At 38.2% G+C, this 26,018-nt stretch overlaps 2 protein-coding genes and 1 non-coding gene across 12 annotated transcripts in view, besides 4 other annotated features; 2 read left to right on the top strand and 1 right to left on the bottom strand.

The window, feature by feature from the left end:
* Nucleotides 1-26,018, bottom strand: part of ABCB1 (ATP binding cassette subfamily B member 1) — a 210,279-nt gene that overhangs the window by 106,799 nt on the left and 77,462 nt on the right. The gene's annotated exons all lie outside the window — the stretch shown is intronic.
* LOC124901834 (small nucleolar RNA U13) lies at nucleotides 14,342-14,443 on the top strand. The gene has a single exon (XR_007060670.1). It is a non-coding gene; the product is annotated as a small nucleolar RNA U13 (small nucleolar RNA).
* Nucleotides 18,338-18,632: an enhancer, noted in NCBI's record as "tiled region #13989; K562 Activating non-DNase unmatched - State 24:Quies". NCBI's record gives its function as "activates a minimal TATA promoter and a strong SV40 promoter by Sharpr-MPRA in K562 cells {active_cell/tissue: K562}" and the evidence as "EXISTENCE:reporter gene assay evidence [ECO:0000049][PMID:27701403]".
* Nucleotides 18,338-18,727: a biological region, named in NCBI's record as "Sharpr-MPRA regulatory region 13989".
* Nucleotides 18,498-18,727: a silencer, noted in NCBI's record as "silent region_18350". NCBI's record gives its function as "represses an Ori minimal core promoter by ATAC-STARR-seq in GM12878 lymphoblastoid cells {active_cell/tissue: GM12878}" and the evidence as "EXISTENCE:reporter gene assay evidence [ECO:0000049][PMID:35858748]".
* RUNDC3B (RUN domain containing 3B) overlaps nucleotides 18,583-26,018 on the top strand; it is a 203,899-nt gene continuing 196,463 nt past the window's right edge. For 7 of the 8 annotated variants that reach the window (NM_138290.3, NM_001394224.1, NM_001394227.1 and 4 more), the window contains exon 1: nucleotides 18,583-19,130. In NM_138290.3, coding sequence (NP_612147.1) covers nucleotides 19,009-19,130 — 122 coding nt within the window. In that variant the 5' untranslated portion in view covers nucleotides 18,583-19,008. Of the gene's footprint in view, nucleotides 19,494-26,018 lie in introns of all 8 variants that reach the window. The other variant, NM_001394228.1, reaches the window with a different exon arrangement.
* Nucleotides 18,778-18,827: a silencer, noted in NCBI's record as "silent region_18351". NCBI's record gives its function as "represses an Ori minimal core promoter by ATAC-STARR-seq in GM12878 lymphoblastoid cells {active_cell/tissue: GM12878}" and the evidence as "EXISTENCE:reporter gene assay evidence [ECO:0000049][PMID:35858748]".

A 26,018-nucleotide genomic window follows, 5' to 3' on the forward strand; every position in this document is an offset into this window, starting at 1 on the left:
GCCAACTGAGGCCCGAGGTGGATTTTAAGGTGCAAGATTTGAAAAAAAAAATGTGAAGGAATTGCTATTACAAGTTGCACTTTGGTTGTAATTAATAATAAAAATGTATGTAAAATACCTAAAACTATATTAACACTTAAAAAATAAGGTAATGAGGCTAACGGTAGTGTAGAAACACTAGCAGAACTTAATTTATCGCATGACCTTTTCTTGAGACACAGATGAATTCTGATTCATATCTTTTTGTTGATTTCCCTTGCGTGTCTTTTCCAATGAGATATTTTGTAATTCTGCCAAATATTTGACTGTATTGTCTCTACTGTTTGAATAATATGCCCTGACCTTGTAGTTGTGTTTCTTCTAATTGGCAACAAGTCATACTGCAGTGTTCTTATGTACGAACTAGCTTTTTCTTTCTTTTTTTTTTTTTTTTTTTTTCTCAGCCAGGGTCTTGCTTGGTCACCCGGGCTGTATTGCAATGGTGCAGTCATTGCTCTCTGCAGCCTCCAACTGTTGAGCTTAAGTGATCCTCCCATCTTGGCCTCCAGAGTAGCTGGGACTACATACTACCACACCTGGCCTTTTTTTTTTTTTTTTTTTTTTTTTTCAGAGATAGAGTCTGCCTGTGTAGCCCAGGCTGGTCTTGACATTCTGGCAATCCTCTTTCAAGTGTTCATCCTGCTTCAGGCTCCCAAAATGCTGAGATTACAGGAGTCAGCCACTGCATCTGGCCTGTTCTTTTTGTTTTACTCGAATGCTATGCATTACAACCAAAGTAGTCATGCAGGCTGGGTTTATCCTTGTTACCATTGCATCATGTGGCAAAGGCAAACCTTCTTACTCTACTATAGTCAAGTTTTCCTTATTCTCCATCATCTTTGTTACTGTTTAAGACAAATAATTATAAAAATTATGTTGCAGAAATTGCCACTTGGGTGGCTCTATGCATCTCATATTTGAGAACTGCCCAGACAGAACTCTTAATCCTGCCCCCACATTGGCTTCTCATTCAGCATGCATATCTAAGTACATAACACCACTATTTACTTTGCGTCAGAAACCTGGAGGAAGGGGAGAGGTTATTGCTAGCATCCCCTTTTCCCTTACTCTCTATATCCAATTTGAATCCAGCGTCTTCTCAACAATGACAATAACTGTCCAAACCACTATATCCACCATCCATTTTCTCTTACTTGGGCTACTTTAACTAGTTTCTCCACATTTACTCTGGTCTTCTTCTAATTAACTCCCTTCGTAACAGCCAAAGTATTTGTAAAATCTACATAGGACCATATCATATCCATGGGTAAGGCCTGCAAGGGCTTCCCACTGTTCTCAGGTTCTATTCCAAAGGTCCTCAATAATCTGTCTTCTGCTTACCTCTATAGCCTCAGGCCACTTCTCCCCTTATTCCTTCATGATCCATCCACACCAGTCTTCTGTCAGCTCCTTGGAGCTTTTCTAGGCTTTATATTGCATAATGCTGAGGTTTGGGCTTCTATTGATCCTATCACCCAGAGTGCCCATTAGGATGTTTTTCAGCCCTTGCTCTCCTCCCTTCTTCCCTCCTTTTTAGGTTCCAAGTCTCTACTGTTTTCATCTTTATGTCTATGAAGACCCAGGGTTTAGCTCCAACTTACAAATAAGAACATGTGATATTTGATTTTCTTTTTCTGCATTAATTTGCTTAGGATAATGGCCTCCAGCTGCATCCACATTGCTGCAAAGGACATGATTTTTTTTTTTTTAGGGCTGTGTAGAATTCTGTGGTGTAGATGTACCACATTTTCTTTATCCAATCCACTGTTAATAAGCACCTAGGTTGATTACATGTCTTTGCTAGAAAATAGCATGTATTTTAAAAATATATTTTTAAATGCTTACAGCAAGTCTGAACTACTTGATTTATGCAGATTTGAGTTTTAGTTTTATGCATCTGTTGCAAATAAAATAATCAGGGTATGAAGTTTCTCAAAGGAATTGTTTTTTATTACATTATTTTATTTTAGATTTTCATAGCATGCTGCAGATGGCTTCTGCACTCCAGTTCTAAGAATTTTATAACAACTAAATTTAACAAATATTTATAGAGCAATTGCACTGAGCATGCTAGATATAGAGATAAATTTAATTATTGACCTTAAAGGAGCTTCTAATACACTTGAGGAGAGAAAATAAAACAACTAATTTTTATTGAGCTCTAAAGTCAGGTTTTCCCACTGAATCTTGGCACAGGTAGTATTATGATTATCTTCATTTTAAAGAAGAGGGAACTAAGATTCAATGAGTTGCAAAGTGAGTGGCAGGACTGATTTGTCTGAGCTCCTTATAGATTCTGGATATTAGTCCTTTGTTGAATGCATAATTTACAAATATTTTCTCCCATTCTGTAGGTTGTCTGTTTATTCTGATGATTGTTTCTTTTGCTGTGCAGAAGCTTTTTAGTTTAATTAGGTACAATTTATTTATTTTCATTTTAGTTGAATTTGCTTTTAGGGTCTTAGTCATAAATTCTTTGCCCAGGCCAATGTCCAGAAGAGTTTTTCCTAGGTTTCCTTCTAGAATTTTTATGGTTTCAGGTCCTAGACATAAGTATTTAATCCATGTTGAGTTAATTTTTATATGTGATGAGAGATAGGGATCCAGTTTCATTCTTGTACATGTGACTATCCAATTTTCTCAGCACCGTTTATTGAATAGGGTGTCCTTTCCCCAATCATGATTTTGTGTGCTTTGTCAAAGATCAGTTGGCTGTAAGTATTTGGCTTTATTTCTGGGGTCTCTATTCTGTTCTATTGGTCTATATATCTACTTTTATACCAGTACCATGCTGTTTTGGTTACTATAATCGTATAGTATAATTTGAAGTTGTGTAATGTGATGCTTCCAGATTTGTTCTTTTTACTTAGGATTGCTTTGGCTATTTGTGTTCCTTTTTGGTTTCATATAAATTTTAGGATCGTTTTTTCTAATTCTGTGAAAAGTGATGTTGGTATTTTGATAGGAATTGCACTGAACTTTTAGATTACTTTGGGCAGTGTGGTCATTTTCACAGTATTGATTTTTCTAATCTGTGAGCATGGGATGTATTTCCATTTGTTTGTGCCATCTATGATTTCTTTCTGCAGTGTTTCATAGTTGTTCCTTTAGAGATCTTTCACCTCCTTGGTTAAGAATATTCCTAGGTTTTGGTGGGTTTTTTTTTTTTTTTTAATCTATTGTAAGGGGGATTGGGTTCTTGATTTGATTCTCAGCTTGGTCATTGGTGCATAGCAGTGCTACTGATTTATGTACATTGATTTTGTAACCTGAGACTTTACTAAACTTATTTATCAGATGTAGAAGTATTTTGGAGGAGGCTTTAGGGTTTTCTAGGCATAAGACCATATCATTGATGAGATAATTTGGCTTCCTCTTTTCCAATTTGAATGTCCTTTATTTCTTTTTTTTTTTTTTTTTTTTTTTTGCCTGATTGCTCTGGCAAGGACTTTCGATTTCTCAAAATTTAAAAGAGAACTACCAATTGGCCCAGCAATCCCATTACCAGGTATATACCCAAAGGAGAATAAATTGTTCTACCAAAAAGACATATGTGCTTATATGTTCATTGCAGTGCTATTCACAATAACAAAGACATAGGATTAACCAAGATGCCCATCAATGGTGGACTGAATAAAGAAAATGTGACACATATACGCCATGGAATACTACAGAGCCATAAAAAAAGAACAAAATCATGTCTTTTGCTGCAACAAGGCCATTATCCTAAGTGAATTAACACAGAAACAGAAAACTAAGTACCACATGCTTTCATTTACAAATGGGAGCCAAATATTGGGTACTCAGACATAAAGATGTCAACAATAGATACTGGAGTCTACTAAAGAGGGAGAGAGGGAGGGGAGCAAGAGTTGATCTATTGGGAACTATGCTCACTACCTGGGCCATGGGATCTTTCATAACCTTAACCTCAGCATTATACAATATACCCATGTAACAAACCTGCACATATACCTTCTGTATCTAAAATAAAAGTTGAGATTATTTTTAAAATACTTCCCTTAGCCATAAAACCTATGTTCCTTTAGTCAAAAATGGATCTATAAAAAGAAATTACCAGTTTTGGAAAGTTTATTCTTATTTATTAATCTAGACAAACTTGGTTTGTGTTAAATTATCCTTTAGTTTTATGATAATATTTAATATCCTCTATTTTTGGACAAACAATTCTAAATATTGTATTTTTTTTTTTACTTTATGAAGTTAGTTCTCTACTATAAACCAAAATAATTATAATATGATGAGTGAAGAATCTCATGCCTGTAATCCCAGTGCTTTGAGAGGCCAAAGCAGGAAGATTGCTTGAGGCCAGGAGTTCAAGACAAGCCTGGGCAACATAGTGAGACCCTGTCTCTAAAGAAAAATTAACAAATTAGCCAGATGTGGTGGCATGCACCTGTATTCTTAGCTACTAGGGATGCTGAGGCAGGAAGATTACTTAAGCCCAGAAATTTGAGGTTACAGTGAGCAATCATGCCACTGCACTACAGCCTGAGCAACAGAGCAAGACTCTATCTCAGAAAAGAAAGAAAAAGGGAAAGAAAGAAAGAAGAAAGAGAGAAAGAGAAAGAAAGAGAGAAAGAATGAAAGAAAGAGAAAGAAAGGGAAAGAAACAAGCTTGACTAATATTTATGTGTGATAGATTACAGCATCTTCTAGTTTATGGCATTTCAGTTCATGACCTTGCATCACAAAGCATCAGATTAAATAAAGATATTTTTCAAGATGAATCTTGTGTAACAAGAGTGTTGCGATCTAAAATAAAGCAAACTGAGATGTGTTAATAGACAGCCTGTTTAGATATTTAGAATTACTATTGGCTTTGGCTTTTATTCTTGTTACATTGTTTCCTGTCTCTCCTGCTAATATCCAGTTTAATAGCATGTTTAGGTACTTATAATAATTACTAATGGTTTTGCCTTTTATTCTTTTTGTTTGTTTGTTTGTTTTTGTGTGTGTAGGTGTTTTTTTTTGGTGGGGGGGGCCGGGGAACGGAGTCATGCTCTGCTGCCCAGGCTGGAGTGCGGTGGCACCATCTCAGCTCACTGCAAGCTCTGCCTCCCAGGTTCATGCCATTCTCCTGCCTCAGCCTCCCGAGTAGCTGGACTAGAGGTGCCCGCCACCATGTCCTGCTAAATTTTTTGTATTTTTAGTAGAGACGGGGTTTCACCGTGTTAGCCAGGATGGTCTTGATCTCCTGACCCGCCCGCCTCGGCCTCCCAAAGTGATGGAATTACAGGTGTGAGCCCCTGCGCCCAGCCTTGCCTTTTATTCTTATTGCATTGTTTCTTATCTCTCCTGCTACACTATACATTCACAAAGGAAGGAGCTCTGTCTATCTTGTCCACTTCTATAATCCCCAAAAGCCTCTACACAGAGTAAGGGCTTCCTCAATATTGGTTCAATTAATGGATAAATAAGGTTGTGCTGTGTGTTTAGTCCACTGAGAGTTAACAAGAGGCCAGTGTGGCTGGAGTGGTGTAACCAAAGGAAAAGAGCAGTAGGAGATGATGTCAGAGAAGTGACATATGGTTAGATCCTGCAGGATGTGTAGGCTATCTTGAGGACTTCGTCACTCTGAGTGAGAGAGAAAACCATTGAAGAGTTTGGAGCAGAGAAGTAACATAATCTCATCACTCTGGCTACTAAATTGAAATCAGACTGTAGGGAGCCAAGGGCAGAAACAGCTGGAAGCTGGGAAGCTGTTTCAATGATCCAGGTGAGCCCAGGGGAGTGTAATAGTGGGAATAATGAAAAGTGCTTAGACTCTGGATATATTTTGAGGGTAGCACCAACAAGATTGCAAAAGGCCTTACATGCCATGATAATATAATTTGTAGACTTTGTGATACAGTTGTTAAAATAGCCTATTAATAAGAAGTGATCAAAGGAGAAAGGAAAAGAAGGGTAAGAAGCCATATCAGAATCTCTAGGGTTTAAGTTTGAAAGGTGCATTTAATCTGATTTCCTATTGGAAAAAAATGATTTTTGAACACAAACTACAGAGAGTAAAAATCTACCAAATATTTTTTCCTGATGGGGATGGTGAGATATTCAGAAGACTGAGAAAGCAAGCATTGAGGAGAGCATAACAAGCTCATGCGTGGCTTTGCTAATACTTAAGTTCATAGTAAATAGAAGGTACAATTTATACCTTTATAGCTATTGCCTAGTATAAGATACTTTAAGGTAGATTTTAACATAAAGTTATATTTTATAGTAGTGGTATAAAATAATAAGCATCTACCTTCTAAAATTATGTACCTGAGTGTTATTTATATCCAAAATGGTATTGTCTATTACTCGGAATAATAAGATATCTTAAATATCAGTATTCTGGGCTATTGTTAGTTTGTTGTGATTTCTGCATTGTGAGGCATTGGACATCTTGTGCAGAGTGAATATATATAAGAAAAGCATGAAGATAATCCAAGAAACCTTTTTCGTCAAACCTGAAAGACTATAAAGCGTTTGTTATAAGACTATGAAGAAGGGGAAATATGTGATAAGAAGTGATGGATGTTTTGTGCAATCTGGAGCTGACACAATTTCTTGGTTTTGTTTTGTTTTAAGCAGAAACAATGTTAAGGTCAAAATCATGGAGCTCTTGCCAAGCCATCAGACTTGATATTCACTGGAATATCTTAAGGAAGGACAACTAATGAAAACAGCTAACAATTCTGCAGCACTTGCTACACATCATGCCCTAAGAGTTTCGTTTATGATCATGGTATCTCCCCACCAGGTAAATATCAGAGTTTCATTAGTTACTCATTTATCTTGTCCCAGCTCCTGTGAAATTACCATATGTACTATCATTATTATCCCAACCTTAGAGATCAGAAAACCAAAGTACATAGAAATTATACAGTTTTCCCAAGGTCATATAATTCATGAAGAGCAAAACTAAGAGCCATTTGTATATGCTCTTCCCTTGTGATAAGGGCAGCTAGAATTGGTCTAGAGACCAACTGGTCTCTTCTCTTGTGATAAGAAACCAATTGGTCTCTTCCCTTATGATAAGGGCAGCTAGAATTGGTCTGTCTCTTCATCTAAGAGATAGCAAGCAAACTTGCACAAATTATTGGTGAGGCCTAGTAGGGAATGGGTTTGTGTGACAAGGGGAGGAGAGATGAGCTCATGGGAGTGGGATACAAGTTGATTTGGGTTATATATTCTATGTAGCCCATGAAATTAGAGTTCTTCCTGAGCCTGCAATCTGGGAATCACAAAATTAGTAAAATGAGATTATCTAGATCTGTTGACTTGGATACCTTTAAGTGGTTGAAGACATGGATCTGTTTGCTAAATTTCACTTAAGGGAAGAGAGAACTCATGCATAACCAGGCAATCTTATACTCAGATATTCCCTTTAAACATTGTCAGTTGTCCAAAAAATTCTTATCTGTTCTCCAATGTACTTTTCTTTTTGATAGAAGATAACAAAGTCCCAGAAAACCAAAACTTTGGTAATGTGTATGTCAAGGATCCCCATATATTATAAAGGAGATGTTTTCTGAGAACCTCACTGTGTTAAAGTTTAGAAAACATTTAACAATGACAACATGTGTCCTTCCATCTGAGGCAAAACACAGCACATTGTTGAAAAAGGAGCAGAGTGACTATTGTTTGTCTTCTTCTGTAGAGTACAACTAGGCTCAGTACATGAGATTGCACATTACTGCCACCTATTATCAGGAACTTACTAAAGTTTTAAAACAAGAACTAGAGCTTCCAATCACAAAGACTGTAGTCCTAAGTCTTTAGGGAAGCTAAAGAAATCTTGCATTCGGAGTGCTGTGAAATCATTTTGGGGCAGCAGTTTGTACTTAATGTTCTCCACCATTCTCCACATGGCAGCCAGAATGAGCATTTCAAAACTCAGATCTGATCTTGTAAGCCTTTGGTTTCAAACTGTTCCAAGGGCTTCTCAACATTCTTAGGATAAAGATGAAAATGTTTAATGTGATCAGTGAGCCTGTGAATAAAACAAATCCTATCTTCCTCTCTGGCCTTCTGTCTAGCCATACTCTCCTGATCCTCCTTACTCTCTGAGCTCCAGCCACATTAACTTCAGGCACAGTGTATTTCCTCCAGCCACAGGCCATTTGTACATACTCTTCCTCTGCCTGGATAGTTTCTCCTACCTCGAGCTGCTTTACCTAGTTCACTCCTATTCTTCCTTCATACCAGAATTCAGTCATTACTTCCTTCCCTGGCACCCTTGCAGGGCAAGAGTGTTGTCTAATTCCGGGGGCCCTGTTGACATTATCTTCTGTAGGAATAGTGCCTCCTGGAGTCCTGCCCCAACTTCTTTTATATGTTCTTCTCTCCTTTGGAACATTTATCATACGGTATAAATATGTATATGTTGATTTCTTTAGGTTTTGATACCTCTCTCTCCCATCTAAATCTTAAGCTCTATGAGAGCAGGAATTTTTGCTCACCATTGTACACCCACAGTATAGCATAGTGTCTGTCACTTAATGGGCAACTAAAAAATATTTATTGAATAAATAAATACAACAAATGTTTGGGGACTACCAGTAGGCTGATAGTCTTGGAGACTACCAGGAGGTTAATAGTCGCTTTGAATTTAGCTGTATCCAAATTCCTATAAGCCTATCAATAGAAATAGTTTTGGTTGGGGAGGACAATGCCAGGTTAACAGACACTTAATATACATCTCTGTAGAGAATGTGTTCCTTCTTTCACCACTGTGGTTCACAGATTTCTAAAATGGTCCTTATGATCTTGGCTCCCTGGTATTACTCCTGTGATTACATTACTTTGCAAAGCAAAGGGATCTTGCAGATGTAATTAAGGTTACTAATCAGTTGACCTTGAGATAGGGAGATTATCTAGGTAGGCGAAATCTAATCACATGAGCCCTTTAAAAGCAGAGAGAATTCTTTAGTTAGGGGTAGAAGAAGTCAGAAATTTGAATCATGAAATTTGATAGATGGAGGAAGCCATATGCAATGGGCTTCACAGCAACACTCAGTCAAAAGCCAGCCGGAAATCAGGGACCCCACTCTTACAACTACAATGGGATTCTACCAACAACTTGAATGAGCTTGGAAGTAGATTCTTTCCCAGAGTCTCCAGTTGAGGACATAGCTTAACTGAAACCTTGATTTCAGCCTTAGGAACCCCTGAGCAGAAAACCCACCTGTGCTGTGCCAGACTTCTGACCTACAGAACTTTCAGCTAATAAATGGGTGTTTTTAAACCATCTGTTTGTGTAATTTGTTATACAACAATAGAAAACTAATATAACTGCTAAACATTGGCTTCCAAATTTGTCAGTAAATATTTGAGAAGATATTAACCTCACTATCAAGGTCAATTATATAAACCACAATGAATGAAATGTAAGCTTGGCTGGGCACAGTGGCTCACACCCATAATCTCAGCACTTTGGGAGGCCAAGTGGGCAGATCACTTGAGGTCATGAGTTTGAGACCAGCCTGGCCAACATGCCGAAACCCCGTCTCTACAAAAAATACAAAAATTAGCTGGGTATGGTGGCACATGCTTGTATTCCCAGATACTCAGGAGGCTGAGGCAGGAGAATCACTTGAACCCAGGAGGCAGAGGTTGCAGTGAGCCAAGACTGTGCCACTGTACTCCAGCCTGGGTGATAGAGCAAAACTCCATCTCAAAAAAAAAAAAAAAAAGTAAACTTGACAAATATCTGAATGATAACCACAACATTCTTCTTTTTCTTACTAAGGTTTATTGGTTGACACAGGTAAATATACTTGGCCAAATTTATGAGTTGAAGATTGCTGCTGTCCAATTTTTGAACACTAAGCAGAAATCGTACTGACTGTAAACTTATTTTTATATATACACACACACAAACACATGTGTGTGTGTGTGTGTGTATATATATATATATATGAATAAACTGACCTTGAGATTTCAAGAGGAATCATTAATGCCATTGTCATTTTGACATATTTTGATCCTGAAAGTTCAAGGGGCGATCATTAATATCATTGTCATTTTGTTATATTTTAAGCTTGCATAAGCAGAATTCAGCCGTGGATATAGTAAATTGGTACTAAAATGTCTTTTAATCCTCTTAAAGATTACTTGTGGATTACTGAGAGATTGCTTGTGGATTATTGAGGGAACATTTTCTTAAAAATTATTTTATGAGAAAAAGTCTCATTTAGTCTATCCATAGGAAAAATCAAAACAAGATTTTTCTTGACATCATAGCTGAAAATCCTGTTTAGACGTTTGTGAGTAACTCATTTTTTTCTTTTCTTTTTTTTTCTTTCTTTCTTTTTTTTAGACAGAGTCTCGCTCTGTTGCCCAGGCTGGACTGCAATGGCACGATCTTGACTCACTGCAACCTCCACCTTGCGGGTTCAAGTAATTCTTCTGCTCACCCTCCTGAGTAGCTGGGACTACAGGCGCGTGCCACCACACCCAGCTAATTTTTGTATTTTTAGTAGAGACAGTGTTTCACCATGGTGGTCAGGCTCGTCTCGAACTCCTGACCTCATGATCCACCCACCTCGGCCTCACAAAGTGCTGGGATTACAGGCGAGTAACTCGTTTCTAATTGATGTTTAGTCTTTGCCAAAATATCTTCAATAGGGTTTTTTTTTCTAAAGAGTTTGCATTTGAATCCGTTGCATGAGATAATTTACAGAAAATTACTTCGTGGAATTGGTATTCCAGTATTTTAGTTTTGAAAGCAAATTCTTAATGTTAAAGAGATTTACGTGTTGTTCCACTAACTTCACCATTAATCTTTATTTTTCTGAGCTAGTGCCTAGAAAACCAACAGAATCATAACAAAAAATGGGTAAACACTTTTATAATCTAAGCACAGAAAATCTTTTCTAAGATTCATGTGAAAACCAAAAATTATAAAAGTAAAAATACAAAAATTTGACTGCATAAAAATCAAACCAACAGAATCTGAAAATTTATTAAAAACAATAAATACATGTTAAAAGGTGATTGTGCAAAAATGTATAGCTTTCCTGTGTAAATATTGCAACTATTTAGGAAGTGTAGTGGAAAAAAAGAACCCTACTCATACAAAAAACCTTACTCATAATACCAGTCCGAAACTCCATGATAAAACTATGAAACGCCACCAAGTGAAATAAAAAAAAAATGTGAAGAAATAGACATACTGTCATCTTAGATCATTGCAAATATTGGGAAGATGTTAATTTTACCTAATCTATAAATATCATGCAATTCTAATTAGAATCCCTATAGGCTTTTCTTGGTGAGAGAGATGTGTCAAAATGATTCTTACGTTTCTATGGAAGAACAGACATTCCAGAATTACCTAAGAACATTCTGAAAGAGAATAATTAGGGAACACTAACCTTACGAGATGTTAAAAATAATTACCAGGCTTTGCCACTTATTAGATTTTGGTACCACTAGCTCATAAATGATAAATCAATGGATGAAAATAGAAAATCCAGCAGTAGACTAAAATTGTATACATTTAGTACCTGACAAAGGTAGCATTTTATATCAGTGGGAAAGTATGCATTATTTAATACTAGCATTAGATAAGTATTGACTGTTTGGAAAAATTAGGCTCTTTCACCAATTGACTCTTACACAAAGATAACTCTATAAATATCAAATATGTGAATGCAAAAACACTACAGAAAAATTGGTAAACACTTTTATTATCTTACCATACAGAAGCTTTTCTAAACATTGTGTGAAAACCAGAAATTATTAAAAAAACGAAAATTTGATTGCATAAAAATTCAAAATTTCTATGGGAAACAAATCATAAACAAATACAAACACATAGTAACAGATTGGTGAGAAAATATATTGACTGTGTGTAGAATAAACTGATTTAGGTAAAATTAAGTATATATTTCTCTTTTGTATGTCTGGAGACCTATCCAAAAAAAGTTGTTGTGAAACATTAATGTTAGCTGTTTCTATGGATTTATTATCATGGGCACAATTCTTTATTAAAATGCAACCTTGTTATTTAATTATTTCATGATAAATTTAATATTGGCAGTAAGGCAAAGATGGATCATTTAATAAATAGAATTGGGACAGTGGTTAATCATTGGAACAATGAAGTTATATTCTAATTTCATACCTTCACATAGTGCAAATAGGTTAACTATTTTTGATATAAAAAAGTAACCATAAAGTATATAATCTTGGAGGTGGCAAAGGCTATTCTAAAATGATCAAAGGAAAAACCAATAAAGGAAAATATTGATGAATTTCATTTATATAAAATTTTTTAAACATCTCTTTATAAATAACTCACACCATAGGTAAGGCAAACAACGAACTGGGAAAAGTATTTGCCATACATACAATAAACAAATATGATCATGAGCCACTATAATGAAGACTAATATTTTTTGGAAAATATGGGTAAAGGGCATGAACGGGCAAAACATAAATGAACAATAAGTGCACAAAATAAATGTGCATTTTCATTACTAATGAAAAACAAGTTAAAATATCAAAAAGATATTGCTCTTTGCTTGTTATGCAGAAAAATAAAAAGAACAATAGTCCCTAGAGTGAGCAAGAGTGCAAGAAAACTTATGTACTGTTAGTAGGATGTAAATTGGTAAAACATCTCTAGGAAAAAATTTAATTTGTGGTTAAAATTATGCATATCTTTTGATTCAGAATACACTTTCTGAATAAAAAATGAAAGCCTGAGCTCCAGAATTATCTAGAGACTATATTGCATGAGTGATACAGTTGGTCAGTGTGTAAAATCCTTCTTGATTCTTAAGAACTATGTGTACAGTATGGGAGTTTTGTGTTTAAGCCTTATCTGGAGTTACTTTCTCAAAAAGGCAGTGAAACATGTTAGAAAAAACAATAAATTATGGGCCAGTCATGGTGGTGCATGCCTGTAATCCCCACACTTGAGGGGCCAAGAAGGGAGGATCGCATGAGACCGGGAGTTCATGAGCAATCTGGGCAACATAGTGAGACCTTGTCTCAGTAAAACATTTTTAAAAATAAAAAACACTAGGCAGCTGTGGTGGTGCATGCCTGTAGTCCCAGCTACTTAGGAGGCTAAGCCCTTTGAGTATCCCTTGAGCCCAGGAGTTCAAGGCCGAGGTAAGCCATGATTACCCACTGTACTCCATCTTGGGCCACAGAGTAAGACCCTGTCTTTAAAATAATAAATTTAAAAAAATAATAGATTTTCTAGCTAATGATTTAGATTTCAATCCTGGCTCTGCCATTTACTATGTGACTTTCTATATGTTACTTAATGTCTCCAAGTCTCTGTTTCCTTGTTTGTAAATGGGAGAATATAATAATACTTACTTTAGAGAACGGTTCTGATGATTAATTGATGCAATGCATACAATGTCTGGAGTCTATAATTTCTGGTTTGTTAATGCCCTTCTACATGATAAAAAATTTTAAAAAGAAAAATATCCTCTGTTCGAACTGAGGGTCAGTATTTGCCCTCCTCAAAGAAACTGTAGGACCAAATCCACTTTGTTTCAATCAGCCTTTACCCAATGACTTTTTACAGAGAACAGTTTGTGAGACCCATCAAGGTACTCTTCATTATGTGTCTGTCATAGCCTGTAATACCCACCTCACTATCCATACCCTATTAATGAGCACGCTTCGCGCTTCCTGGCCCATGACCCTGTCTGCACTCCCTTCCATGATGCTCTCTGGAACTTTTGCTCTATGACCAATACTACCTTGCATTCTCCAATTCTTTGGAATGGTCTTTCTGCTTCCTCTTCTCAACGGAAACCCATACCTCCCCTGAGTGTTCTGCTTCTCTTGACTTACTCTCACATGGACTTTTTTTTTTTAAAGCAATTTTCATACATTTTCTTCATGCTCGCTTCTGATAGTTTTTTTTTCTCTCTTGCATTACTAACCTTTCCCTCCCAGTAGATTCATTGCATCAGCTTCAAAATATGCTCAAGTCACTTCTGTGAAAAATAATGACATGATAGCAATAAAACACCAATGTCCCTCTGTTCAATATTCCCCCATACCACCACTCTTTTTTTCTCCCCTTTCATAACTTTTTAAGATTGTGTGATACTCACTTCCCACTGACTTTTTACTCACTGGAATTTGGCTTTCACATTCATTGTGCCACTGAAACAGTGCTTATTGATCTGCAGGAGTATTTTATAGAGGAAATTAGCTCTTTGTCTATGATTTGAGTTTTAAAAATGTTTTCTCGGTCTCATTTACTTTTGACTTTGCTTATGATGATACTTGATTTGTGGATTTGAAAAAATTTATATCTATCCATTTGTGGTTCATAAGCGTGATGATTGAGCTTTCACACACATGTGAGACGTGCCTCACCCAATCCTTGTTATGATGTCAGCATATTACCCATCTGACGTCAAAGTAAATAAAAATTAAAAAAACTTACATCTTCAATGTTTCTAGTTTCTTCTGTACAGATGCTGGGTTTATGGCATATTTAAAAAGTCCACTTCTCTGAGACTAGAATAAACTATGGTTTGGTGATCTCTCTGGTTTATAGCACTTTATATATACATTTTATAGTATTTTATATTTGAGGACATTTTATATGTTGCACTTGTAATTTTGTCTGTTTCGATGAGAAGAAGGAAGTTGGGAAAACGGTGAATGGGTATGTTCTGCCCATTCGGTTCTACAGAATTCCTATAAGTTAATTTAGGTATCTACTGTTTTCATAATTTTTACTGTGACTCTTTGTAAAATCTTTGAATACCTTTGTGCAATGCTTAAATAAATAAAAATAATTGAAATAGGTGCCAAAAGAAGTCCAAAAAGTAACGTGGACTCATGGAGTTCTATAATAGTATTATGCTGTGTACTGAATAAATTGATTGACAATATCCAGATTAGTAATCTAGAGGGAGAAAGAGACCCAGGACATACTACTTAGGATAAATGAGAAAAGCCTTATCAAATAAGGCCCCCATGTGGCAGTGTAATGACACTCCATACATGCAAAACAAAACAAAACAAAAAAGAAAAACACAGCTTGTTTATGGCAAAGTCTTGGTAAGCAAGTACTAACATGTCAACTAAATCCTTCTAAGAGTAACATTTGAAAAATAACGTTATGGCTGGGCGCGGCGGCTCACGCCTGTAATCCCAGCACTCTGGGAGGCCGAGAAGGGCGGATCACGAGGTCAGGAGATCGAGACCATCCTGGCTAACACGGTGAAACCCCGTCTCTACTAAAAATACAAAAAAATTAGCCGGGCGTGGTGGCAGGCGCCTGTAGTCCCAGCGACTCGGGAGGCTGAGGCAGGAGAACGGCATGAACCCGGGTGGCGGAACTTGCAGTAAGCGGAGATCCTGCCACTGCACTCCAGCCTGTGCGACTGAGCGAGACTGCGTCTCAAAAAAAAAAAAGAAAAAAGAAAAATAACACGATTACCTCATCATTTAAGATGGAGTTTTACTAAGTTTTCAGTCATAGTTCACAGTGAAAATAACATGAACATGTACTGGAGGCTAGGAAGCCAATTTTGAGGATATTAACATCTCACTTTTCTCGTTCTGTCATGACCACTCACTTTTATCTTCTTGATAAATGCTTCAGAGGCATGTGTGTTCTCTCCCTCACTCACGACACACCCAAGCATCGGTTTTTAGAAATTTTATTGATAACTGATGGTTTTCCACTCTTTTCTTTCTGCAGTTTTATCTGTGGTTAAATAATAACAACATCAATTTGAGTAGTATTTGTCATTGCCAGCGCAAATATTTTGCTGAGACTGCCTGCATAACCAGTGCATCTGTTTCCTGATGGCTACTTCTGAATCCAAACTGTTGAACTAGCAAGAAGAGACAAGTTAAGTTGTAGCTCCTAGGAAAAGAAGACTCTTTATAAGCCTCCGTGTCACAGGAGAGCAGACACGTAATGTTCTGGAAGAAGTGCACTGACTAGTCACAAACATCCATATATAGAAATTTCGCCTGCTTTTATTAACTTGAAAGATAAAGTGTAAAGTCTGACTAAATTGTTTTCTTAAAATTTTAATGTATGAATGAATATTTATCATAGCACATTAGTTAAGACTGACACTATATACGTATGGCTAGAGAGAGAGGAATATATATATATATATGTACATATATATGTATATGTACATATATATATATATAGAGAGAGAGAGAGAGAGAGAGATGGAGTCTCATTCTGTCGCCCAGGCTGAGACATATATATATATATATATATATTGTCATATATATGTGTCATATATATTGTCATATATATGTGTCATATATATTGTCATATATATGTGTCATATATATTGTCATATATATGTGTCATATATATGTCATATATATGTGTCATATATATGTCATATATATGTGTCATATATATGTCATATATATGTGTCATATATGTGTCATATATATGTGTCATATATGTGTCATATATATGTGTCGTATATGTGTCATATATATGTGTCGTATATGTGTCATATATATGTGTCATATATATGTGTCATATGTATGTGTCATATATATGTGTCATATGTATGTGTCATATATATGTGTCATATGTATGTGTCATATATGTGTCATATATATGTGTCATATATGTGTCATATATATGTGTCATATATATGTGTCATATATGTGTCATATATATGTGTCATATATATGTGTCATATATGTGTCATATATATGTGTCATATATATGTGTCATATATATGTGTCATATATATGTGTCATATATATGTGTCATATATATGTGTCATATATATGTGTCATATATATGTGTCATATATATGTGTCATATATATGTGTCATATATATGTGTCATATATATGTGTCATATATATGTGTCATATATATGTGTCATATATATGTGTCATATATATGTCATATATATGTCATATATATGTCAGAGAGAGAGAGAGAGAGAGAGATGGAGTCTCACTCTGTCGCCCAGGCTGGAGTGCACTGGCGCAGTCTCCGCTCACTGCAACCTCCGCCTCCCGGGTTCAAACGATTCTCCTGCCTCAGCCTACCGAGTAGCTGCCACTACAGGCGCGTGCCACCACACCCGGCTAATTTTTGTATTTTTAGTAGAGATGGGGTTTCACTATGTTGGTCAGGCTGGTCTCGAACTCCTGACCTCGTGATCCGCCCGCCTCAGCCTCCCAAAGTGCTGGGATTACAGGCGTCAGCCACCGCGCCCAGCCCATATATTTTTATTCTACTAAACAGAATAGTAGAATAAAATTAGACATGGTAGCTGAAAAGGATGATTTTTTGACTATTTTAAATAGAGATTTTTAAACTTTAAAAACCTCAGAAATTAGGAATTTACAACTTTATTACACAAACGTGCGTTGTTAAAACATTCAAGAGTAACAGTATGCCCTGCATTAACAGGGATAATATATAAGAAAAATAGAGATAGCCACACAAAACTATATATTCTCTGACATTCTTTGACAGAAACTTCAAAAGTAGAGGTGAAAGATACATGGATTTTGGAGCCACTGAAGCCGTGAAATTTCAGTAAAAATTATGTCAAATGTGACTTCAAATTAAATTCGAGAAACATTTATTGAGAACCTGTTCTATGTACAGCACTGTGCTAGGTCCCATAGGGAGAGTAAGTCATTTAGGATTGCACTCTAAAATCTGGGCATATTGGTGCAAAGGGAGGTGAACAGCAGGCGTAGGTGAGTGTCAGAGGACCTGACCCAAGCTGGGACCCTCCTGCAGGTAAAACGGTGGGTAGTGAGAAGCTCTAGGAAGGGGGCGCTTCCGAACACGCGCGTCGAGGAGGGCGTTCCAGGACTCTGAGGGAGCAGCCCAGCTGGACCGAGGCCGCGTCGTTCCTGGGCTTACTATTCCCAGACCCGGACTCCCGATTCCGGAGTCACGGCCCAGGACGCGAAAAGACTCTACACTGGCACCACGCTCCTCCTTAGGCGGGCCGTCAGTCCCGGGTGCGGGCTGCGCTGGAGGCTGAGGTGGGAGCGACATGGTGTGGAGGGGCAAGAAATGTCGGCACTAGACGCGCCAAGAAGGAGATTCTACGAGCAATTCCCCCCTCGGGCCATTGTGTTGCTGTTTATTAGCCCCTGGGAGGGCGTCAGGACAAAAGGAACCCTCCTCCCTTCTTAGTACTTAGGCCCAAGGTCGGGTGTGGGAGCCGGCGCGCTGCTTTCTAGGCAGGCACTGAAGCTACGGCAGCCACGCAAATAGGTATCAGCCGTTAAAGCTTGGCTACAGGCAAGGGGGGGGCAATAGGCCCCTGGCGCTGTGGGGCCCCGCATCCCACAATCCCCGCGGCTAGCCTGTGTGGCTACTGGCGGCAGCTAGCGGGCTGCGAAAGCGAGCCCAGCGTCCTTGACAGCAGCCCACGCGTCGGGGCGGGGCTTGAGCCCGCTGCTTTAAAAGGTCCGCGCGGCCGGCCCCGCCCCTCTGGTGCCGCGATTGGATCCGGCGGGGGTAGCGTTGATTTGATAGGCGCAGAGAGGGTGGGGCTGCGCACGCGAGGCCGGGGGCCTTGCCGCTGCCTCCCGGGCTGGGGCACGAGTGGCTGCGGAGTGTGGGTGGTTGGGCGTGAGGGGCCGACGGGCTCGCGCGCGCGCCGTCTGCTGAGGTCCCTCGGGAAGGAGGAGAGCGCCTGACGCCGACCCGCAGGCGCAGCCCGGCAGTCGGCGGCGCGCCGAGGGCGGAGGTGGTGCGTGCGTGCGTGTGTGTGTGTGTGTGTGTGTGTGTGTGTGTGTGTGTGTGGAGCTCGGGTGCCAAGGGCGAGCCGTCAGTCCCCGGGTGCGAGTCCCTGCTGTCTTCCACACCCTTCCTCCCTCCAGGCTCCTTTCCTACATCCTTCCCGCGCCCCCACGGTTGCGGACCGAGCGAGAACCCCCTTAAGCAGGTGTGGGGGGCGTGCGGGGTGGCACGAGACAAAAGGGGCACGGGGGTAAGCCCGCCATGGCCTCCCGGAGCCTGGGGGGCCTGAGCGGGATCCGCGGCGGTGGCGGCGGAGGCGGCAAGAAAAGCCTGAGCGCCCGCAATGCTGCGGTGGAGAGGAGGAACCTGATCACCGTGTGCAGGTACGGCAGCGCAGGGCGAGGGGAACCAGCCTCCCGCCGGGGCTGAGAGCTCTGGGCTTCCGCGCGGGTCCTTGGGGGTCCCGGGCATGATGGGCTGCCGCCCAGTGCCCCCGCCTATGTTGCGCCAGCCAAATCTGTGAGCGCGCAGCTCCTTGGACAGGGGCCCGGGTCTGGACACCGTCGCAGCCCTGGACTTTGTGTCAGTTCCAGTGCTGAAGGTACTGGAGGGTAGAGCTTGGGGCGGGGCTGGAGGAGGATTTGTTTTGAATGTGCAATCTAGCGTCAGAGTGAAAGAGGAGGGCAAGGAAGAAGAGCTCTTTCATTTAATGCCCATTCAGCTGTCAGCGAGCTTTGGATAAAGTGGTAGTTACTGTGATTGTTTACTGTGTTGCCCCCAAATCAGAGTGCATTTCGTTGTTTTGGCTTGTTTACATTATCTTCAGCCATTTCATTTCACACGTTAGTTGAGTGCCTACTACATGCCAGCCATTGTGTATGTGAGCGTGTGTGTACTATCCACTTTTCAGCTACAGTGCTAGTGCTGGTTCTGCAGTTGTTATTAAGAGTGGGACTGTGGAGGATACCTAGTCTTTATGTCAATGATTTATTTTAAGGCCTGCCTTTCCTTAATGCTTTATAACTGTAAATGTAGTATTTCCTTCAGAAAAATATAGAAACAATAAAAGAATAATTACTATTGGGCCGGGCGCGGTGGCTTACACCTGTAATCCTAGCACTTTGGGAGGCTGAGGCGGGCGGATCACGAGGTCGGAGTTCGAGACCAGCCTGGCCAACATAGTGAAACCTCGTCTCTACTAAAAATACAAAAAATTAGCCGGGCGTGGTGGCGGGCTCCTGTAATCCCAGCTACTCGGGAGGGTGAGGCAGGAGAATCGATTGAACCTGGGAGGCGGTTGCAATGAGCTGAGATAACGTCATTGCACTCCAGCCGGGACCACAGGGGGAGACTTCGTCAAAAAAAAAAAAAAAGAACTATTTATAGTAAGCCTAGTATTCAGAGATAACTGGTTTTTAACATGCTGATATATTTTCTTTAAGTCTTATATCTGAGTATTAAGAAAAATTGAAACCCTAAGCATCAATTTCTTAGGAACTTCTCTGAGCCATTAAGTTGTTTTAAAATTACTTTCCTCCATCAGACTCCTAATCATCACCTAGTGATATTCCTCTTAAGAATCAGATGATGATGAAACTTTTTCTTCCTTTGCAATTTCTCTGTATTTTTCCGTTATTTTTCTTGTGTAAAAATGTGTCTAGCATCTTAAGTGGAATACAGATAATTATTCCAGGACTTAAATGCAATAACTCACAGTGACTTTTTAAAAAATACTTGAATTATTACAAATGTTTATCTAGCAAGAAGACCTTCTTCATTGACTGTATTTGTATAATGTAATTATTACAGCACTTTGAGTTGTAAATGGTAAAGTAATATGGTATCCGTTTAATTTGCCGTTTGTGCTGTCTAGGATGTAACTTTTTGAGACAAATAGGCTGTTAGGTGTTTTAAAATATAGGTAAATATCTTTAAAGTAGGTAAATGGAACCATAAGCAAGGCTGATTTTCTTAACCATAATATACAGACATCAAAAATTGCTTTAAAAATAAGGGTAGTTTCAACATATACAGTGCTTCTTGGGGGGTAACATATTTAATAAAAGCTCTATCAGCTTTTGTTAAACTTCACAAGGGCAGTGATTCTATCTGCTTTTTGCTTAGTCTTTTTTTTTTTTTCTTTCAAATTCTCAGTATAGCATCTAACACTCAAAAAATATTTATTGAATGAATAATTTCAGTGATGGGTACTGTTCCTTTTGCTTCTCCATTTTTGTCTTGGCTGGCTTTAGGTCATGTAATGATCATGTGTGCCCTTATCAGAGACAGTTGAAAAGAAAAGGATTTGTATTTCAACCTTATTTAAACTAAATTTTAAATTATCTTTAAGAAATTTTAGGAACGTCACACTGATTTCTGGGGACAGCTCTCTGTATTAGTTGTATTTTCATGATTGTAATTTACATAATTATTATTTTCTACTGTGAAATGAATATGTGCTAACTTTAGTTACAGTTTACACATAGATTTAGTGTAATAGCTAAAATAAGTTGTGGTTTCTGCTCTGGATTTCATTTGTATTGTTATTTATATGGATAATATTAAGGCTGTTTTTCAGATCCAAATAGTTGATGGTGCATGTAAATTATCCATGTGTAGTAATGGGGTCTATATGATAGGCTTTGTCTGAATGACTTTTACTTTTTGGAAGAAAGTCACTATAGGCCATTTGTACATTTTAAGTATCCCCATGACAAATTAAGAAAAATGAATAAAGCAGTATTTATGCATTTATTGCTAGTTTACTTTCCAGAGTCACCAAACCCTGGGTATTTCACTCATGTCTCTTATGAATTCTTTTTTTAATTTTTTATTTATTTATTTTTGAGACGGAGTCTCGCTCTGTCTCCCAGGCTGGAGAGCAGTGGCGCGATCTCGGCTCACTGCAAGCTCCGCCTCCCGGGTTCACGCCATTCTCCTGCCTCAGCCTCCTGAGTAGCTGGGACTACAGGCGCCCGCCACCACGCCCGGCTAATTTTTTGTGTTTTGTTTAGTAGAGACGGGGTTTCACCGTATTAGCCAGGATGGTCTCGATCTGCTGACCTCGTGATCCGCCCGCCTCGGCCTCCCAAAGTGCTGGGATTACAGGCGTGAGCCACCTTGCGCCCGGCCTCTTTATTTTTATATCTCAAATCAGAGATGATTTGATATTTAAGTTGGAAAGAAGTTGATCTGGTGGAAATATAACTGGGTTCTAGGTTGACTTTATCATTAACTAGTGTGCACTTTTACAAGCCATGCAACCTTTCCATTTGTTCATTTTTGTTGTCTGTAAAATAATATTGGACTAGATCATTGTTAACCTTCAATTATAGGCTTAAAATTAATAATAGCCTCCAAGCAAAAAATGTTTATATTTAGTTTTGAATTTTTCCAAATATGAGCAGGGTAATAATGATAAGATAAATGTTTATAATAGCTAAATTACGTATGTGCATTTTTCTCTATAAACAAAAATATTTTGGACTGTGCCTTTGATTTTGTAATTCTCTGCTGATGTTCTGGAAAAAATTGAACCATTTACAAAACCAAAAAAAAAAAAAGTCACCAGCATATATCATTCTAGTGTATCCACTTATACTTTCACAGTAATGTTTTTCCTTACCCCTTAAACAATTTAGGTGTATTCTCAGTTTAGGTTTAAAGTCTTCTTATGTGAGTACACAATTCTTTATGTTTAAAGCTTTATTCAAGTGCAATATATAGTTTTGAGCTTTGAAAGTGGGTTGTTTAGATAGGTAAGATAATCAGATAAAGAGCTGAATTGAATTTTGGCTCATGTGTGATTGTATATGTGTATGTAATTCATTAGTTTTTTTTAGTGAACATTTACATGTTGTAGACTAAAAACATTTGCATAGTCCTTATTTCATCAGATAAGTACTGTTTTTTCATATTTTTCACAGATTTTGGTGAAGAGATAGTAGGTCATTTGAGGACTCTAAATCTTACACACTCAACTTCAAAATATTCATACACTTGACTTTGGCTCTGAGAACCAACTAGTATTTTCCCTGTATATTCTCTATCGTTTAGAACTTCAGAAAATTAAGTTGTTAACGCCCTTCAGATTTTTTTAACTTGCATTTTTATCCATAGATAATCAGATATTAGTCATTTTTTCTGTCCTTTATAAGCTTCATTGTTTACAGAAAACCTTATATAGTCCTTTGATTTTGGTTTTGGTGGCAGAGTATTAAAATCTAAATTCTCTTTCTATGGCTTAACAATGTCTTATGAGCAAATTATTAAAATATGCACATATAAACATTTCAGAATAACACTTGTCAAACTTTTAAGTCAATACTTTTAAGAGAAACTTCCCATGCAAAGTCATAATTTTCCTGTTTTGTAGCTAGGAGGGACTAATAAGAGGAATATAAGGAGTAGTGTGATAAGCACGGTGGAGACAAGTGATGATTTCACAATTCAAGTGTTTTTAATAACATATGAATAGTCTTAGTTTTCTATAGGTCATGATATTATTTCAGAACTTGAATATTATTTCAAATTACATTAGCACCTCAGTTTTTCCATTATAGTCAAGGAATGAGAAGCTTATATTTTTATACATAACTAATATTTGAGTTAAGCTTAAAATCCTTCATCAACTGTAGTGCTTTACTCAGCATTTATTTTGGAGCGCAGGATTTGTATAACTGAAATTTATTTAAGCGCACAAGTTTAATCCACAACACATAATATTTACAATATTTTGGATGGATTGCTTTAAAAAATGATTACACGTTTCCCTACCTTCTTGACAAAGACTATACATAGAATAATGTAATCCTTATTGATGACTTTACTCTGAATCTGCCTCTATGAATATGCCCACTGTGCAGTGGTTGCCCTTGGAGACTCTTGCAGCATGTAGAGCTTTTGCCTAAGTGGCCCCAGAAGATTATGTGTTTGGAGTTCTTTGAGCTTTTGCATCCTTCTGTTTCTTCCTACCAAGTTATTTGTTATTTCTTACAACTCTTTTTATTTCTAGCAGTTCTTTTCTTTGTACTTCCCATTCTGACTTGCAGATTATAATTGGTTGTGACCTGGGAAAGTATATAACTAAACTTATCAGGTGTTTAATTTTTTTTTTTTTAAAAAGCACCCAGAGGCCTGAGTTAAGTTTAGTGAGCTTTAGAACTCTGAACTTCTTAACATTCTGGTGCTAACTAATCAGAAAAACTGTCTAGTCTATGCTTGAACTTGGTGGGAGAAATGCAGATATGTGAAATGTTATTGAATATTAATGACAGTATAATCTGTCTTATCCTGTTTTGTGTTGCTATAAAGGAATACCTGAGGTGGGGTAGTTTATAAAGAAAAGAGGTTTATTTAGCTAACAGTTCTGTAGGTTGTACAAAAACCGTGGCCCCGGCATCTGCTGAGCTTCTGGTGAGGGCTTTTGTGCTTCATCAAAACATGGTGGAGAGAGTCAAAGGGGAAGCAGGCAGGTGTGAAGAGAGACCAAACCCAAAGGGCATTCTGGTTTTTTATCAACCTACTCTTCTAGGAACTGATCCATTCTTCCTTGAGACCAATCCAGCCTTGCTAGAGTGAGAACTGGCTCACTAGTGGGTGATAAGTACCAAGCCATTCATGAAGTATCCACCCCCATGATTAGCCAAATACTTCCTGCTAGGCCCCACCTCCCAACACCATCACATTGGAGATCAAATTTCAACATGTCATTTGATGGGGGCAGACCAACCATATACAGATTGCAGCATAATCCTTTAAAGAACTTTAAATTTGTTGGCTGGGTGTGGTGGCTCATGCCTGTAATCCTAGGACTTTGGGAGGCTGAGGCAGATGGATCACCTGAGGTCAAGAGTTCGAGACCAGCCTGGCCAACATGGTGAAACCCCGTCTCTACTAAAAATACAAACAGTCAGGCGTGGTGGTGGGGGGTGGGGGGGGGGGCACCTGTAATTCCAGCGGGAGGCTGAGACAGGAGAATCACTTGAACCCTGGGGCGGAGGTTGCAGTGAGCCGAGATTCACTACTTCACCCCAGCCTGGGAGAAAGAGTGAGACTCTTGTCTCAAAAAAAAAAGAAAAAAAAAAGAACTTTAAATCCAGTGATTTACTTTTTTTGTTACTATTTGGTTGAATATGCTTGAGTATGCCTCATAAGACTGTTCATACCTTGGCTATAGTGATTATAATATTTTTGGCTAAAACTCTTTCAGTCATTTTATATGTAGTAGAACTTTGAGTTTGAGTTTGGATTCAACATTAGTTATATACCTTGGAAGCAGGTTCAGTATTATTAAATATTTCTAAGGATTCTTCATGCTCTAATTAGTAGATGCGCACAATGGAGGTAGGATGATCCTCTTTTCAACGACTAGTCCTAGAGTAGACATTTCAGCATTCACAAAAGGTCATTTTCTCTTCCCCCAACCAAACTGCATTCATATTAATTGACAACAGAGACTAGCTATCCCCCAGTCCTTTACTAGGGGGTATTTATTTTAACTTTGCTGTTGCTGCTTGATAATTGTCAAAATTTCAGTTGAGAGATGATATTCAAGGGGGAATGTTTGAAGCTTACCCACTCTTCTATTCCCTCTTACAGGTTTATAAAATATATCCCTGGGTCAGTCCAAAGCATCAGAGAGAATTGGGTATGTAGACTGCATTGCTCCACACTCTTCTATCCCCAACTGCTTTTACCCAGTTGTATATTGGAAAGATTCCATCAGTCTGCACTGAAGGTCATCATAAGAAGCAGTCACAGAGGGTCTTGAAGTTATTGTCAAGGACATTATTATGTCAAAAGGGGCTTCTTTTTTGTGAAGACTTCTGTGAGAAATCTCTGTGTTTAGTGCCAACAATTTGTATTTTCAAGCAATTGATTTATTTGTATCTACTGGACACTAATGTATAACTGACAACTTTATCTTTTTCTCATGCAGCTGTTAGAAATCTTAGTGTCAAGTCTGTAGTCAACCACTACGAGATATGTAGGACATTGTGATAATGCTTTTAGCCTTATTTCTAGCTCTACTATGCCACTATTCTTTTAATATAAATTTTTATTGACTTATACTTTCCATATAGAAAAGTATACGTAGCATAACTATGCAGCTCAATTCATTTTTGTGGTAGGGCACAATGTTGTAACTAGCACCCAAGTCAAGAGAAAGAACTGTTCAAATATCAAGACCTCCTCCTTGCTTTCTTGTAGTTAATACCCTGGTTTTTAACACCATGGTTTGTTTTGCCTTTTTAAATATTTTAAATGAA

Source organism: Homo sapiens, chromosome 7 (assembly GCF_000001405.40).
Source record: "Homo sapiens chromosome 7, GRCh38.p14 Primary Assembly".
Lineage (NCBI taxonomy): Eukaryota > Metazoa > Chordata > Mammalia > Primates > Hominidae > Homo > Homo sapiens.